The sequence below is a fragment of the Homo sapiens genome, chromosome 17 (assembly GCF_000001405.40).
Source record: "Homo sapiens chromosome 17, GRCh38.p14 Primary Assembly".
In the NCBI taxonomy this organism is placed as follows: Eukaryota; Metazoa; Chordata; class Mammalia; order Primates; family Hominidae; genus Homo; species Homo sapiens.
Genome location: NC_000017.11, coordinates 65,112,956 through 65,126,890, shown reverse-complemented (window position 1 = coordinate 65,126,890; position 13,935 = coordinate 65,112,956). Strand labels below are relative to the sequence as shown.

Genomic DNA, 13,935 nt, shown 5'->3' with positions numbered 1-13,935 from the left:
GCTCTGTTGCCCAGGCTGTAGTGCAGTGGTGCAATCTTGGCTCACTGCAGCCTCCACCTCCCAGGTTCAAGCAATTCTCCTGCCTCAGCCGCCTGAGTAGCTGGGACTACAGGCTCATGCCACCATGCCTGGCTGATTTTTGTTTTTTTGTTTTGCTTTGTTTTTCTGTTCATTTGTTTGTTTAGTAGAGTTGGGCTTTCACCATGTTGGCCAGGCTGACCTCAAACTCCTGACCCCAAGTGATCTGCCCGCCTTGGCCTCCCAAAGTGCTGGGATTACAGGCATGAGCCACCGTGCCTGGCCAACACAGCCAGAATTTATTTCACTGAATTTATGTCACTGTTATCTAGCAGTTCAGGGAGGCCGAGCACTGCAGTCATGGAAACAGCACAGGATTCAGAACAAAATAAACCATGGCTGAGTCTTGGTTTGGCTGCTTACTAACATGCGTACCCCTGGGCAAAGCCTCCACTTTCTAATAATTCATTTGCTTGCTATGAGAAAATCAAATTATTCTTAAAAAATTATAATTAATATTGTAAGTGAAAATGTTTAGGCCAGGCATGGTGGCTCACGCCTGTAATCCCAGCACTTTGGGAGGCCAAGGCAGGCGGATCACCTGAGGCCAGGAGTTCGAGAACAGCCTGGCCAACATGATGAAACCCCATCCATACTAAAAATACAAAAATTAGCTGGGTGTGGTGGCGCACACCTGTAATCCCAGCTACTTGGGAGGCTGAGGCAGGAGAATCACTTGAACCCGGGAGTTAGAGGTTGCATGAGCCGAGATCATGACAATGCACTCCAGCCTGGGCAACAACAGAGTGAGACTCCGTCTCAAAAAAAAAAAAAAGTGAAAATGTTTGCTAAATTGCAGAATCTGGTGGTAGGAGAAGTCGGTTAAGTCAGGAAGTCCTCTATCTGTTAGGTTCTGGATGCTTCACCGAAGATTGCTAAGGGTTACCAATACCTGAATTAAGACACTATTACATTAATACTAATTAGGACTTCATGGAAAAACTTTCTAACAACTAATTTTGTACTTTAAGCAGATGATCTCACAGACCAGGGAACTGGGTGTCTTTGGAGTGTTCCCAGCTTCAGTGGCCACAGTCCAAAGTTGTAGATGAGATCTACTCTATACTCAATGGCAAACTGTGCTGCTGTCCATCTCTTTCAAACCTGAGAATTTCTGAGTCTCAGATGGATTCCAGGAGGGTCTTGTACAGCAGAGAAATTGATGCTGGTATCACTCGTTCAGTATCACCATCAAAAGATGAGCAATCACTCATTAGAAAGGGTTTTCGAGGGTTTCCAGGCTGGCCTGACCCATCTCCTCCAGGCACCTAATGAAGCCTGTCCTTTCCCTAGTGTCTTACTATATCTTTGTTGAGATGGGGGTCTCGCTAGGTTGCACAGGCTGGTGTCGAACTCCTGGACTCAAAGGATCCTCCTGCCTTGGCCTCCCAAAGTGCTGGGATTACAGTTATGAGCCACCATGCCTGGCCTTGTTTACTGTATCTTAAAGCCTCCTCTACACTTTGCATTTTATGTCTGAATTTTTGCACATGAATATTGGCCATGCGGGGTGGTCTTTCCTGAAGGCAGATTGGATCTATCTGAAAAGAATGCTAATTTCTCCTGTTAGTCTCCAAGGGAAGAGATGATTCCTAAGGCAGAAAAAGGAAGCAGTAATTCAGAAAGTGAATCTTAGGCACAAGTCTGTCCTTAGAACTCATCTGTCCACCACATGGGAGCCAGTCCAGGGCTAGGGAGATAGGGAGTCTGCAATCCCCAGGGATCAAGTTTTTTTTTGTTTTTTAAAGAAAATTGTTCATATTCATGTGGTTCTCTCTATTCCCCTTTTGTTTATCATCTAGGATTTATCACCTTTTCACTAGTTGTTCCAACTTCTTTCTCATCTCTGGGCTCAAGGCTATTCCGTTTCTTCAAGAAGCCTTTATTGAGCACCATTTCTGGGGTGGGAACTGTGTTAAGCAACCAGAGTACAAAGATGAATAAGACACAGTCCCACCTTCAGGGTATTCCCCGGAGGAAAGAAAAATATAAAATAAATGTCTAGGATAATGCAGTAGATGATATTGCAACATGTGGAAAGTAAAAAGAAAAGGAAAGAAAGGAAAGGTGGTAATAAAGCATGCTAGACATAGGAAATATTGATCAGAGTCACAGAGGTAGGAACTGATCATGGTAGGACATAACAAGCCCTGTTACACCTGCTTCATTCATTTAATCTTTACCCCTGTGAGGCAGGGGACTATTAATGTGCCCATTCAACAAATGAGTATACTGAGAGTCAGAGAAGCTGAATAACAAGCTGACATTCATGCATCTGTTAAGCAGCAGAGCCAGGACTCGGGGCCTTCAGCCTGGCTCATGACTTCATGTCTTACTGCCTTGCCATGCTGGGATATTCTCATTGGCCAGGCCTGGGTCATGGGCCCACCCCAGAAGTGGATTGAGGGCTAGTAGGTTTCCCACAGAAAAATCCTACTGTTAAAATCATTAAAAGAAAAACTGAATGTTGGGCGAACAATAACAGTAGTTGTCCATTGCAGAATCACTTCAAAAATACAGCTTTTCCTTTCTCTTGCATTATTTGCTTGAGATAAATTTTCACAGATGGGATCCCATGAGTCACGGTGGCTTTTGATATAAAATGCCAAGTAGTTTTTCAACAGGATGCATATATTTACATTCTGTCTGCTCAGAATGAACAAATTTCACCACACCCTTATTTGTGTTGGATGCCATATGTTTTGTAAACCTAGACAATTCTAATTTTAGTAGATTCTGCAGTTATTTATATTTGCATTGTTTTCCCTATCCCTTTTTAGAGTGGAAAATACAAATAAGAAAGTATATGTAAGTTGGTTAGCATGAACCTTCGAATCAACAGATGGGCCAGCTGGAGCCCTGGGAGCAAGTGGAAGAACAGGTGTGTCTCTCCTGCTCGCGGCCTTAGGGACCAGAGGACAGGGTCTGTGCTGAGAGACGACGCCAGCTCATCCAGTTCCAGCCTGGGGTTCAAACTCAAAAGGAACTTCAAATGTCAAACATTTCTGGGTTATTATTATTGTTATTACTCGTCATTTCAGCTGTGTTATTGCATGAATGTTAGACTTCATCTAAATTTTAAAAATGCATGTGCGCTACACTACTGGCAAAAAGCTAGAGAAACTTGTTGAGTTTGGGGGTGTCCTATTGTGTTCCTGTGTCTTCATTTTGTTAAATCGTGATGAAAGCAATTTCCGAGGCTCTGCTGGTGGTACTGCCAGGTGCGCACGAGTGAGAAGGGGTAGGAAAGGGATCGCGAAGAGACAAGCCGATGCTCCTTCCCCTCCTCGCTGGGAGTTCACTTTCCTTTGCGCCAGAGACCACAGGCTCCGCCGCTCGACGCCCAGACCATAGAGATGCGGAAACCTCCGGATTCCTAGAGAGGAAATGCGGGCTCAGGGTGTCGGCTTCCGGCGGTTGCCCACTTTCGGCTTCTTTCAGACAGCGTCCTGAGTGCACTGAGTTTGCGGGGTTTTTTCTGCTGGAGGGTTTCTCGCATCCTCTTAGGTCCCTGCTCTGGGCTCACGGGAGGCCTTGCCGGGTGGACGCGAACCCCTAATGCCGACTCTGGGGCCGCGGGCGGCCTCCTCCACGGAACTCGCGCGCCGCGGGATTGGGGGCCGGGGTGGAAGGCTTTTCGGAGGGGCCCCCTTGAAGCCCATAGCGCCGGGATCCCTTTCGCCTAAGTGCTACCTCGAGATCGGCCCCTCCAATACCTAAGCTCTGGACTTTCCTTTTTATAACCCCTACAGGCTCGAAAAAAATAATGGTGACACTGCAACTTAAAAGTATTTAATTTAGGCCGGGCGCACTGGCTCACGCCTGTAATCCCAGCACTCTGGGAAGCCAAGTTGGGAGGATCGCTGGAGCTCAGGAGTTAGAAACCGGCCTGGGCAACATAGCGAGACCCAGTCTCTACTAAAAAAAAAAAAAAAAAAAAAATACAAAAATTAGCCGGGCGTGGTGGTGTGCGCCTGTGGTCCCAGCTGCTCTGGAGGCTGAGGTGGGAGGATTGCTTGAGCCTGGGAGGTCGAGGCTGCAGTGAGCCTTGGTGGCACCCCTGCACTCCAGCCTGGGCGACAGAACAAGACCTGTAAATATATATACTTCAGGGCCCATTTTTCCCGTATGTAGGAGAACGACTGACTTGTCAATTTTAACAAGTCAAGTAACCAAAACAAACAAACAAAAAATGCACTTTAGTATTGTGACCACATAATGGGGAAGAAGATTAGTTCAGAAGATGAGGAACTATGAGCCTGGAAGAGTAGAGTACAAGAACTATGCAGACAGTGCCACTTGGAAGGAGGATTGGAGGTACAGGGGTAGAAAGGGTCCTAACGTCCTCCCTATGGGAGAGGAGGGTGAAGACAAAATCAAGATCTCTTAACCAAAGGCTGTGCATCATGGTGCACGCCTGTAGTCCCAACTACTCGGGAGGCTGAGGTAGGAGGATGGCTTGAGCCTGGGAGGCGGAGGTTGCAGTGAGCTGAGATCGTGCCACTGCACTGCAGCCTGGGTGACAGAATGAGGCCCTGTCTCAGAAAAAAAAAAATCTTACCAAGGAGAAATGAGACTCATGATTGTAGACTACTAGTTTGAGAATACTGGCCTGGATTCTCTACCAGGGCAGCCACTTACCACAGGTGTTAGTTCCTCAATAATTTTGAGATGTTATTTTACTGTTCATGATGTATGCTGGAGGAAGGCCAAGGCCGGGTTTTGTTCATTTCCATTTCCAGGTGTTATATGGCTTGTGGCAGTTCAGTGATTATGAATCATTTTCTTGAACATTTATAAAACGGAAACTATCCATAAAACGGAAACTATTCATGTGTGAAACTGATATACCTTCTCTGACACTTCTATGAGATTGTGTTGGGAAATATTCCCTATAAAGAAGCATTTGCCATTATGTGTTCCTGAGGCGAAAATAAGAAAAAGAGAGAGAGAGAGAGACAGAAAGAAAAGAAAAGGAAAGAGAGGGAGGGAGGGAGGGAAAAGAAAAGAAAAGAGAAAAAGAAGGAAAGAAAGAAAAAAGAAAGAGAGAAAGAGCGGGGGGAGGGAGGGAGGGAGGAATCTGCCAGTCTCTTAACACAGTTAATAGAATATTAGATCGTTCAGAGAAGGCCTGCCGTGATGAACTTGCTTAACTTTGTTTAGTCTGGTGTTTCTCTAGCATTTTAACCACAGAAACTTTAAAGTAACACTCTATTAATATCCCTCCCATGTGGTTTTTCCCAGAACACATTTTGCAAAATGCTGACATAAAGCATTCACCTGGGCACAGGACTGCTCAGAAGGCACTCGCAGCTCTCAAAAGGCATTTCAGATCTACTTTTTTGAAATCATCTGACTGGATTTCGGTTAGGATAGTTTCTGTTTTGTGAACGTTCAAGAAAATGATTCCTAGTTAGTGAAGTGCCACAAGCCATATAACACCTGGAAAAGGAAATGAACAAAACCTGGCCTTGGACTTCCTCCTGCACACATCATGAACAGTAAATAACATCTCAATATTATTGAGCAAACATTATCAATATACAGTTATTTATAAAACAGTAGAAATAATTATTTGGAAAAAATGTGAATTGTGTCGAAATTCTAAAATTCAGTAGATTCAGGGATTCTTAATGACAAACCTAGAAATTTGTTCACAGTCTCCTAGATGGACCTATTTTAATAAGATGTGATCAACATTTGCTAACTGTATAAATAGAATGTAATTAAAAACCATTTAAATGTGTTGTATATTTGCATTGATATTCATTGGAACCTTGCTCTGACATAGAATAAAATTTAGAACAATTGTTTTGAACATCACTCAACATAGCTTAGTTACTGAAACTATCTTGTTTGGCACAAACCTTCTTCAAGTAGAGCTACAAATTGACTTACTAGTATATTACTAAACTGTTGGAGTTTCAAACAAGACCTGACTGGGGATGACTGGGTAACAATGCCTTGGACTGTCTTCTTCCAGTATCCTGTCCTTCACTCTGTAGGGCCAAAACGCTGGTTCCATTAGTTCACACAGAGGTAAGCAGGATCCAGAGGTCACATGCTAACCAAACTAAAAGAAGTTGATGTATAAACCTGGAGTGTGAGTTAATTCCTTTCTAGTGAAAAACATAATTATCAGTCAGACTGGATCATTGTATTTGCCAACAGTGTGTTTCTTTCCTGTAGGAAGATCTACATGGGAGACTAGATTCTTATATTGTACTGAGACATATAGTGAGCTTGCAATCAGAACAAGGAGATGGTCAGGAGTTCAAGACTAGCCTGGCCAACATGGTGAAACCCTGTTTCTACTAAAAATACAAAAATTAGCCGGGCATGGTGGCACGTACCTGTAATTCCAGCTACTCAGGAGGCTGAGGCAAGAGAATTGTTTGAATCTTGGAGGCAGAGGTTGCAGTGAGCCGAGATCACACCACTGTACTCCAGCCTGGGCGACAGAGCGAGACTCTGTCTCAAAACAAACAAACAAAAAATAAAGTGTCCTGAAATTGTGCTGCCTTTTACTCCCAAATAGCAAAAACCATACATTTTGTTTAGAGTGGCCTCCATCCCACTGACCACCCTGCCTCCGCTTCACATTCGACTATCAGTGTTTAAAGTGTTAACATCCCTCCCTTTCTTCAGGCCTTAGACTAACCCCCATCACCACCACCCTTTTTATTGGACCTCAGGCTTATTGGATTGGGTTAGTCATAATTCTCAGTCCCTGGTACAAAAACATCTTTGTTCTATGCGTGGCCCTTTCTATTTATTTTATTCTATTTAGATTTATTTAATAGTATTAGGAATATTTCATGAACCAACATGACCAATAACTTAGAGTTACAACATGCTCCTCTCTGACCAATCCTCCTGCTTCCCTGTCTATAGGAGTGACCACTATGATAAACTTTGTAAAGTTTATGCTCTTGCCTTTGGAGTTTTTTGTTTTATCACAGCCATTTATATCTAAACAATACATTGGTTTCACTTTTTTAAAACTTTATCAAAAGGATGTCTTACACTATTTTGTCTTCTGGACTAGCTTTTTTTACTCAACACTATGCAGCTAATATTAATATATGTAGTAGTGTTTAGCTCTAGCTCATTCATTTTCATTGCTTGTATGTCATTCTGATTATACCCCTCATCCTTTCTCAATTTTACATTAGTTTGTTCCAGACCCTTTCCTCATCCAATAAAGAAGAAAATTTTCTTAGGCACTTTTGTGCTCATTTTCACTCTTTATTCATCTATCATTTATCAAGTGAACCACAGTGGGTGAAGGGTTAACAAAACCCTTTCCACTACTCAACAAGAATGTGACCTTCAGCTAACTCTCATGTTAGTTATTGCTGAGTAACAAATTTCCACAAAACTTGTGGCTTAACACAACAGGCATTTATTATCTCACAGTTTCTATGGGTCAGGAATTTTGCAGCATCATAGCTAGGTAGTGCTGGCGCAGGTTCTCTCATGAGATTGTAGTGAAGATGTCGGTCAGGGCTATATTCATCTGAAGGCTTGGGTGAAGTTGGCGGATCTGCTTCCAAGATGGTGCCCTCACATGGCTGTTGGCAGGAGGCTTCAGTTCCTCATCACATGGGCCTCTCCATAGGATTGCTTGAGTGTCCTCACAACATGGCAGCTGACTTCCCCTGGAATAAGTGACTCAAAAGAGTAAGACAGAAACCATAATATCTTTTATGGCCTAACCTCAGAAGTCACACACCATTATTTCCCCAATAACCTAGCGATTACATAAGTTGACCCTACTCAATGGGAGAAGGCATGAAAACAGGTGCAGGGATGATTGGGAGCCATCTTGGAAGCTGGCTACCAAAACTCTCTTGCTGTTCCCTTGCTATAAACACACACATGTTTATAGCAGCACAATTCGCAATTGCAAAAACATGCAACCAGCCCAAATGCCCATCAATCATCGAGTGGATAAAGAAAATGTGGTATATATATATATACCATGGAATACTACTGAACCACAAAAAGGAACGAAATCATGGCATTCACAGCAACCTGGATGGAATTGGAGACCATTATTCTAAGTGAAGTAACTCAGGAATGGAAAACCAAACATCATATGTTCTCACTTATAAGTGGCTAAGCAGGGCGGGCATTTTGGCTCACACCTGTAATCCCAGCACTTTGGGAGGCCGAGGCAGGTGGATCACGAGGTCTGGAGTTCAAGACCAGCCTGGCCAAGATGGTGAAACCCCGTCTCTACTAAAAATACAAAAATTAGCCTGGGGTAGTGGCACACGCCTGTAATCCCAGCTACTTGGGAGGCTGAGGCAGGAGAATCGCTTGAACTCAGGCAGCAGAGATTGCAGTGAGCTGAGATGGTGCCACTACACTCCAGCCTGGGTGACAGAGTGAGACTCTGTCTCAAAAAATAAATAATAAATAAATAAACAAAAATAAGTGGCTAAGCTATGAGGATGCAAAGGCATAAAATTGATGCAATGGACTCTGGGGACTCTGGGGGAAGGGTGGGAGGGGGGTGAGGGATAAAAGACCCCACATGGGGTACAGTGTACACGGTTTGGGTGATGGGTGCACCAAAATTCAGAAATCACCACTAAAGACCTTATCCATGTAACCAAACACCACCTGTTCCCCCAAAACCTATTGAAATGAAAAGAAGAATAACACAAACTTGCTTTTTGACAGTGTGAGTGAGAGATTCATAAACCAAAACATTGCAGCATTTGAGTGTTAATGCAGGAAATCTATATTCAAGCATATGGCAGAACATACAGCAGGTGCGCTGGGGATCCCAAAGACCACTCAAGACTCCCAGGTCCAGTGATTTGCTTGGAGGACTCACAGAACTCAAAGTATAGCCATCAGCATGGCTGTAATTTATTACCATGAAAGGATATAAAGCAAAATTAGCAAAGGGAAAAGGCACATGGGGCAAAGTCTGGAAGCCACCAGGGGCAAGCTTCCAAGAGCCTCTCTCAGTGGAATCACACAGGACACGTTTAATTCCTCTAGCAATGCGCTGTGACAAGTGTGAAATGTTGTCCATTATCAGGGAAGCTCATTAGAGACTCAGTACCCAAAGTTTTTACTGAGGGCTGGTCATGTAGCCAACCTCTGCCTAGCATGCACCAAGATTCCAGACTCCCAGAAGGAAAGCAGGTGTTTCACATAAGCCATACTGTTTGCACAAACAGTCCAGGCACAATGAGCCACTCTTATCAGGGAATCATGGGAACTCTCCTGAAACCCAAGCTCCTACATGCCAGCCTTGGAAAGGCCAACCTTGAAAGCAGGGCTTTCTAAGGTTAGCAGTCTCAGGCGTGCTGTGGTAACTCCCCTGCACAGTAGAAATTGCTAAGTGTAGCCTGCAGATACTCAGGAGATGATGAGAGAAATGATGCTTGGAGTGAATCTTGAAAGCTGAAAAGATCATTAACAGTGTGAAATGAGGAGAAAGGGGACTTCCAGCAGAGGGAAACTTGTTAGCAAAAGCAGAGAGGTGGGAACACCCAGATGCCTTTGGAGAAATGTGTGTAGTTTGGAGTGACTGGCACGTGGGTATGGATGGCACGTGGGTGTGAATGACAACCACTGACCTGGTCCAAGTCTCAGTTTCCTCATCAGTGAAATGAGATGGTTGATGTGGATGACCTCTGACTGAGGTCCTTTCCAGCTCCTACTTTTCCAAGGAAAATGGGAGCAGCTGAGTCACGTGTCAGCAGCTGAGATAGGCATAGAAGATGTGACTGGACCTAGAGCAAAGAACATGAATTAAATCTGATCCAAACACTCTCTGCACTTACTAGATGTGTGACCTTAGGCAAATTGCTTCCCTGAGCTTCCTCTTCCTTATTTGAAGTTGTATAGTGTATTAATCCATTCTCACACTGCGAATAAAGACATACCTAAGACTGGGTAATTTATAAAGGAAAGAGGTTTAATTGTCTCACAGTTCAACATGGCTCGTGAGGTCTCAGGAAACTTATAATCATGGTAGAAATTGAAGCAAACACGTCCTTCTTCACGTGGCAGCAGGAAGGAGAAGTGTCGAGCAAAAGGAGTAAAGTCCCTTATAAAACCATCAGATCTCGTGAGAACTCACCCATTATCATGAGAACAGCATGAGGGTAACCACCCCCATGACTAAATTACCTCATACTGGCTCCCTCCCATGACACATGGGGATTATGGGAACTACAATTCAAGATGAGATTTGGCTGGGGACACAGCCAAACCATATCAGATAGTAATGATATTTTCTTCACAGAATTATTTTGAGGATTCATGAGATGCTCTATAGAAGTTTCTGGCAGAGCACCTGACAGTAGGTGCTTAAGGAATGGTGACTGCTAAAAAAATTTGTTAACTTCGTTTTGTCCATAATTCAGTTTATTATTATTATAATTTAATAAGACAGGGTCTTGCTGTTACCCAGGCTGTCACGAACTCCTGGGCTCAAATGATCCTCCTGCCAGCTTCCCCAGTAATGACTGCTAAAATTGTAGTATTCAGTCTTTCCTCCCATACAGTTCAAGCTCTTGTTGTTGAACCAGTCATCAATGTCTCAAGCCTTTCCAGTCGTAATCTCCACAGAAGGCTAAAGCACAGCTAACAAATGGTGCAGTCAAAGGGAGGCTCTGCCCCCATGACCAGGCCATGTCTCAGAGCAGCCACAAATGACAGCAGGTCTCCAGATCAGCAACATGCAGAAAGAGAAGCTGATGGGGGTTGTGGGGAAAGGCTTCCGTCCCTCAGGGCAAAGGAAGCCAGAAGGTTGACAAAAGGACCCTGTCTCGGTTGGCCTGAAGCAGAGGTGAATTGAATTGAGGAGGACACCTTGACAAGGAGAAAAAAAAATCAAGTCACAGATGGGGCAGTCTGGGAGGGCTGACAAAGACAGCCCCATAGTGTGAAGTCACACACATTTCCTCAGGAAACCATCTGTTTGAACAGTAAGTAATGTGTTCCTAAAATACAAAATTTTGCTTCTTTAAACAGAATTTAATGTTTTAAAATATATGTACCACATTCTGCTTGTGAAAATGTATTGATCTGTACATGTTTTCTGAGTGAATACCATATTTCAATTAAAATGTATATATATATATATTTTGGTATATATATTTTAATATATATATATGCCAGGAGTGCCTATAATCCCAGCATTTTGGGATGCCAAAGTGGGAGGATTGCTTGCACCCAGGAGTTTGAGACCAGCCTGGGCAACATAGTGAGATCTCACCTCTACAAAAATTTAAAAATTAGCCAGGCATAATGGCGCATGCCTGTAGTTCTAGCTACTCAGGTGGCTGAGGCGGGAAGACTGCTTGAGCCCAGGAGGCTGAGGCTGCAATGAGCCATGATTGTGCTAGCACACCAGTCCAGCCTTGGTGACAGAGCAAGACCCTGTCTCTCAAAAAAGAAGAAAAATACCAGAATGGATGAATATATAGGTAATTATTAATGAATATTTATTGCCAACCCAATAGGTATAATGTCTTATGGAATTTAAATATATGTGTAGAACTAAACATGTATAACAACAACACAAAATGAGGAAGGAGATAAATAAAACTAAAGTTTCCTAAAGTTTTAAATGTTTTGGGAACTGGTAAAAGTAATAATTTGTATTACACAGAAATAAGTCAAGATTGCATGTTGTTTAATCTCTAGGATAACAGCTAAAGAAAAAGAATATGTAACAAAACAATGTATAACTAACAAGCTTGAGGTAAAGAATAGAATGATAGAAAATATTTTCTTAATCCAAAAGAATGCAAGAAAGAAGAAAAACAACAGAAAACAGATGGGTCAAGCAGAAAACAAATAGAATAAACCCAACTTTATATCAATAATTACTTTACTATTATTTAAATAGACTAAATAATCCAAATAAAAAACTAAGATTGGCCAGGTGCAGTGGTTCATGCCTACAATCCCAGCACTTTGGGAAGCCAAGGTGGGCAGATCACAAAGTCAGGACATCAAGACCATCCTGGCCAACATGGTGAAACCTCATCTCTACTAAAAATACAAAAATTAGCTGGGCGTGGTGGCATGTGCCTGTAATCCCAGCTACTCTGGAGGCTGAGGCAAGAGAATCACTTGAACCAGGGAGTCAGATGTTGCAGTGAGCCAAGATCGCGCCACTGCACTCCAGCCTGGGGTGACAGAGCGAGACTCCGTCAAAAAAAAAAAAAAAAGAAAAAGACTAAGATTATCATACTGGATGAAAAATACAAAACCTAACTCTATGTGACTTCTAAAAGAGACACTTTAAATACATGGAGATCGATGATTAAAGAAAAAGGATGAGGAAAGATAGACTGTAAAAGTCTAACAAAAGAAACCAGGCATTCTATAGCAGTATGAAGTAAGATTTTGAAGCAAAAAGCATTACTAGATATTAAAAGGTACATATTATAATGGGTCAATCCAACAAGTAGATATCAAATCACAAATCTATACATACTTATAACTTCAGAATACAGAAAGCAAAAATTAAGCAACTCAAAGAAGAAAGTGACAAATCCACAATCATTATGGAAGACTGTAAGATACATTTCTCGGTAACTTATAGAGCAAGAAAATATAGTAAGGATCTAGAAGATTTAAATAACGCAACTAACAGACTTGACTTAGTTGTTGTATATGTATCAAATTCTGTACCCATAATGATAGAATTTATTTTATTTATTTATTTATTTTTTAAGATGGAGTTTTGCTGTTGTTGCCCAGGCTGGAGTGCAATGGTGCAATCTCGGCTCACTGCAACCTCCGCCTCCCAGGTTCAAGCAATTCTCCTGCCTCAGCCTCCCAAGTAGCTGGGATTACAGGCATGCATGAATTTACTTTTTAAGTGTACATGAAACGTATCAAAATTGATCATATGATGGGCAATAAAGAAAGCCTCAACAAATTTCAAAACATTGAAATCATTCAGAGAATGTTGTTTGACCAGAATAAAATTAAGTCAGAACTCAATAATAAAAAGATAATCTCCACGGCCTGGAAATAAAAAATATATTTCTAAATAACTCATAGATTAAAGAAGAAATCTAGACAGATATTAGCAAATATTTTGAACTGAATGTGACCCCATAAAAGACGTAACTTCTAAAAACTCATAGGATGCAGCTAATGTAGGGACTAGAGAGTTATTTATAACCTTAAAAATGTGTATATTCGAAAAATGGACAGGGTGAAAGTCAATGATTTATTTTTTTAGTTTAAGAACAAAAAGAACAGTAAGTTATATCTAAGGAAAATAGAAGTAAATAATAAAGATTATAAATCAGTGAAATAGAAAACAAATCTGCCTGGCGCGGTGGCTCACGCCTATAATCCCAGCACTTTGGGACGCCGAGGCGGGCAGATCACGAGGTCAGGAGATCGAGACCATCCTGGCTAATGTGGTGAAACCCCGTCTCTACTAAAAATACAAAAAAATTAGCCGGGCGTAGTGGCGAGCGCCTATAGTCCCAGCTACTCAGGAGGCTGAGGCTGGAGAATGGCGTGAACCCGAGAGGTGGAGCTTGCGGTAAGCCAAGGTCGTGTCACTGCACTCCAGCCTGGGCGGCAGAGCGAGGCTCCGTCTCAAAAAAAAAAAAAAAGAAAGAAAGAAAAGAAATAGAAAACACATATACAATGGAGAAAAATCAACGAAATCAAAATTTGGTTATTTGAAAATATTATTTATATTGATAGACTCCAAACAATACTGATCAACAGAAACAAAAAAGACAAATTTTCAATATTAGAAAGGAATATCAATACAGATCCCACAAATATAACAAAGATAAGAGAATATTATTGTCTTTACACCAAAATATTGACAACTTGGATAAAATA

At 42.2% G+C, this 13,935-nt stretch overlaps 3 annotated features.

Annotated features, from left to right (window-relative positions):
* Positions 3,205-3,735: an enhancer, noted in NCBI's record as "H3K27ac hESC enhancer chr17:63119274-63119804 (GRCh37/hg19 assembly coordinates)". NCBI's record gives its function as "activates a minimal SCP1, AML or CMV promoter by ChIP-STARR-seq in primed H9 embryonic stem cells {active_cell/tissue: H9 hESC(primed)}" and the evidence as "EXISTENCE:reporter gene assay evidence [ECO:0000049][PMID:30033119]".
* Positions 3,350-3,399: an enhancer, noted in NCBI's record as "active region_12606". NCBI's record gives its function as "activates an Ori minimal core promoter by ATAC-STARR-seq in GM12878 lymphoblastoid cells {active_cell/tissue: GM12878}" and the evidence as "EXISTENCE:reporter gene assay evidence [ECO:0000049][PMID:35858748]".
* Positions 3,736-4,267: an enhancer, noted in NCBI's record as "H3K27ac hESC enhancer chr17:63118742-63119273 (GRCh37/hg19 assembly coordinates)". NCBI's record gives its function as "activates a minimal SCP1, AML or CMV promoter by ChIP-STARR-seq in primed H9 embryonic stem cells {active_cell/tissue: H9 hESC(primed)}" and the evidence as "EXISTENCE:reporter gene assay evidence [ECO:0000049][PMID:30033119]".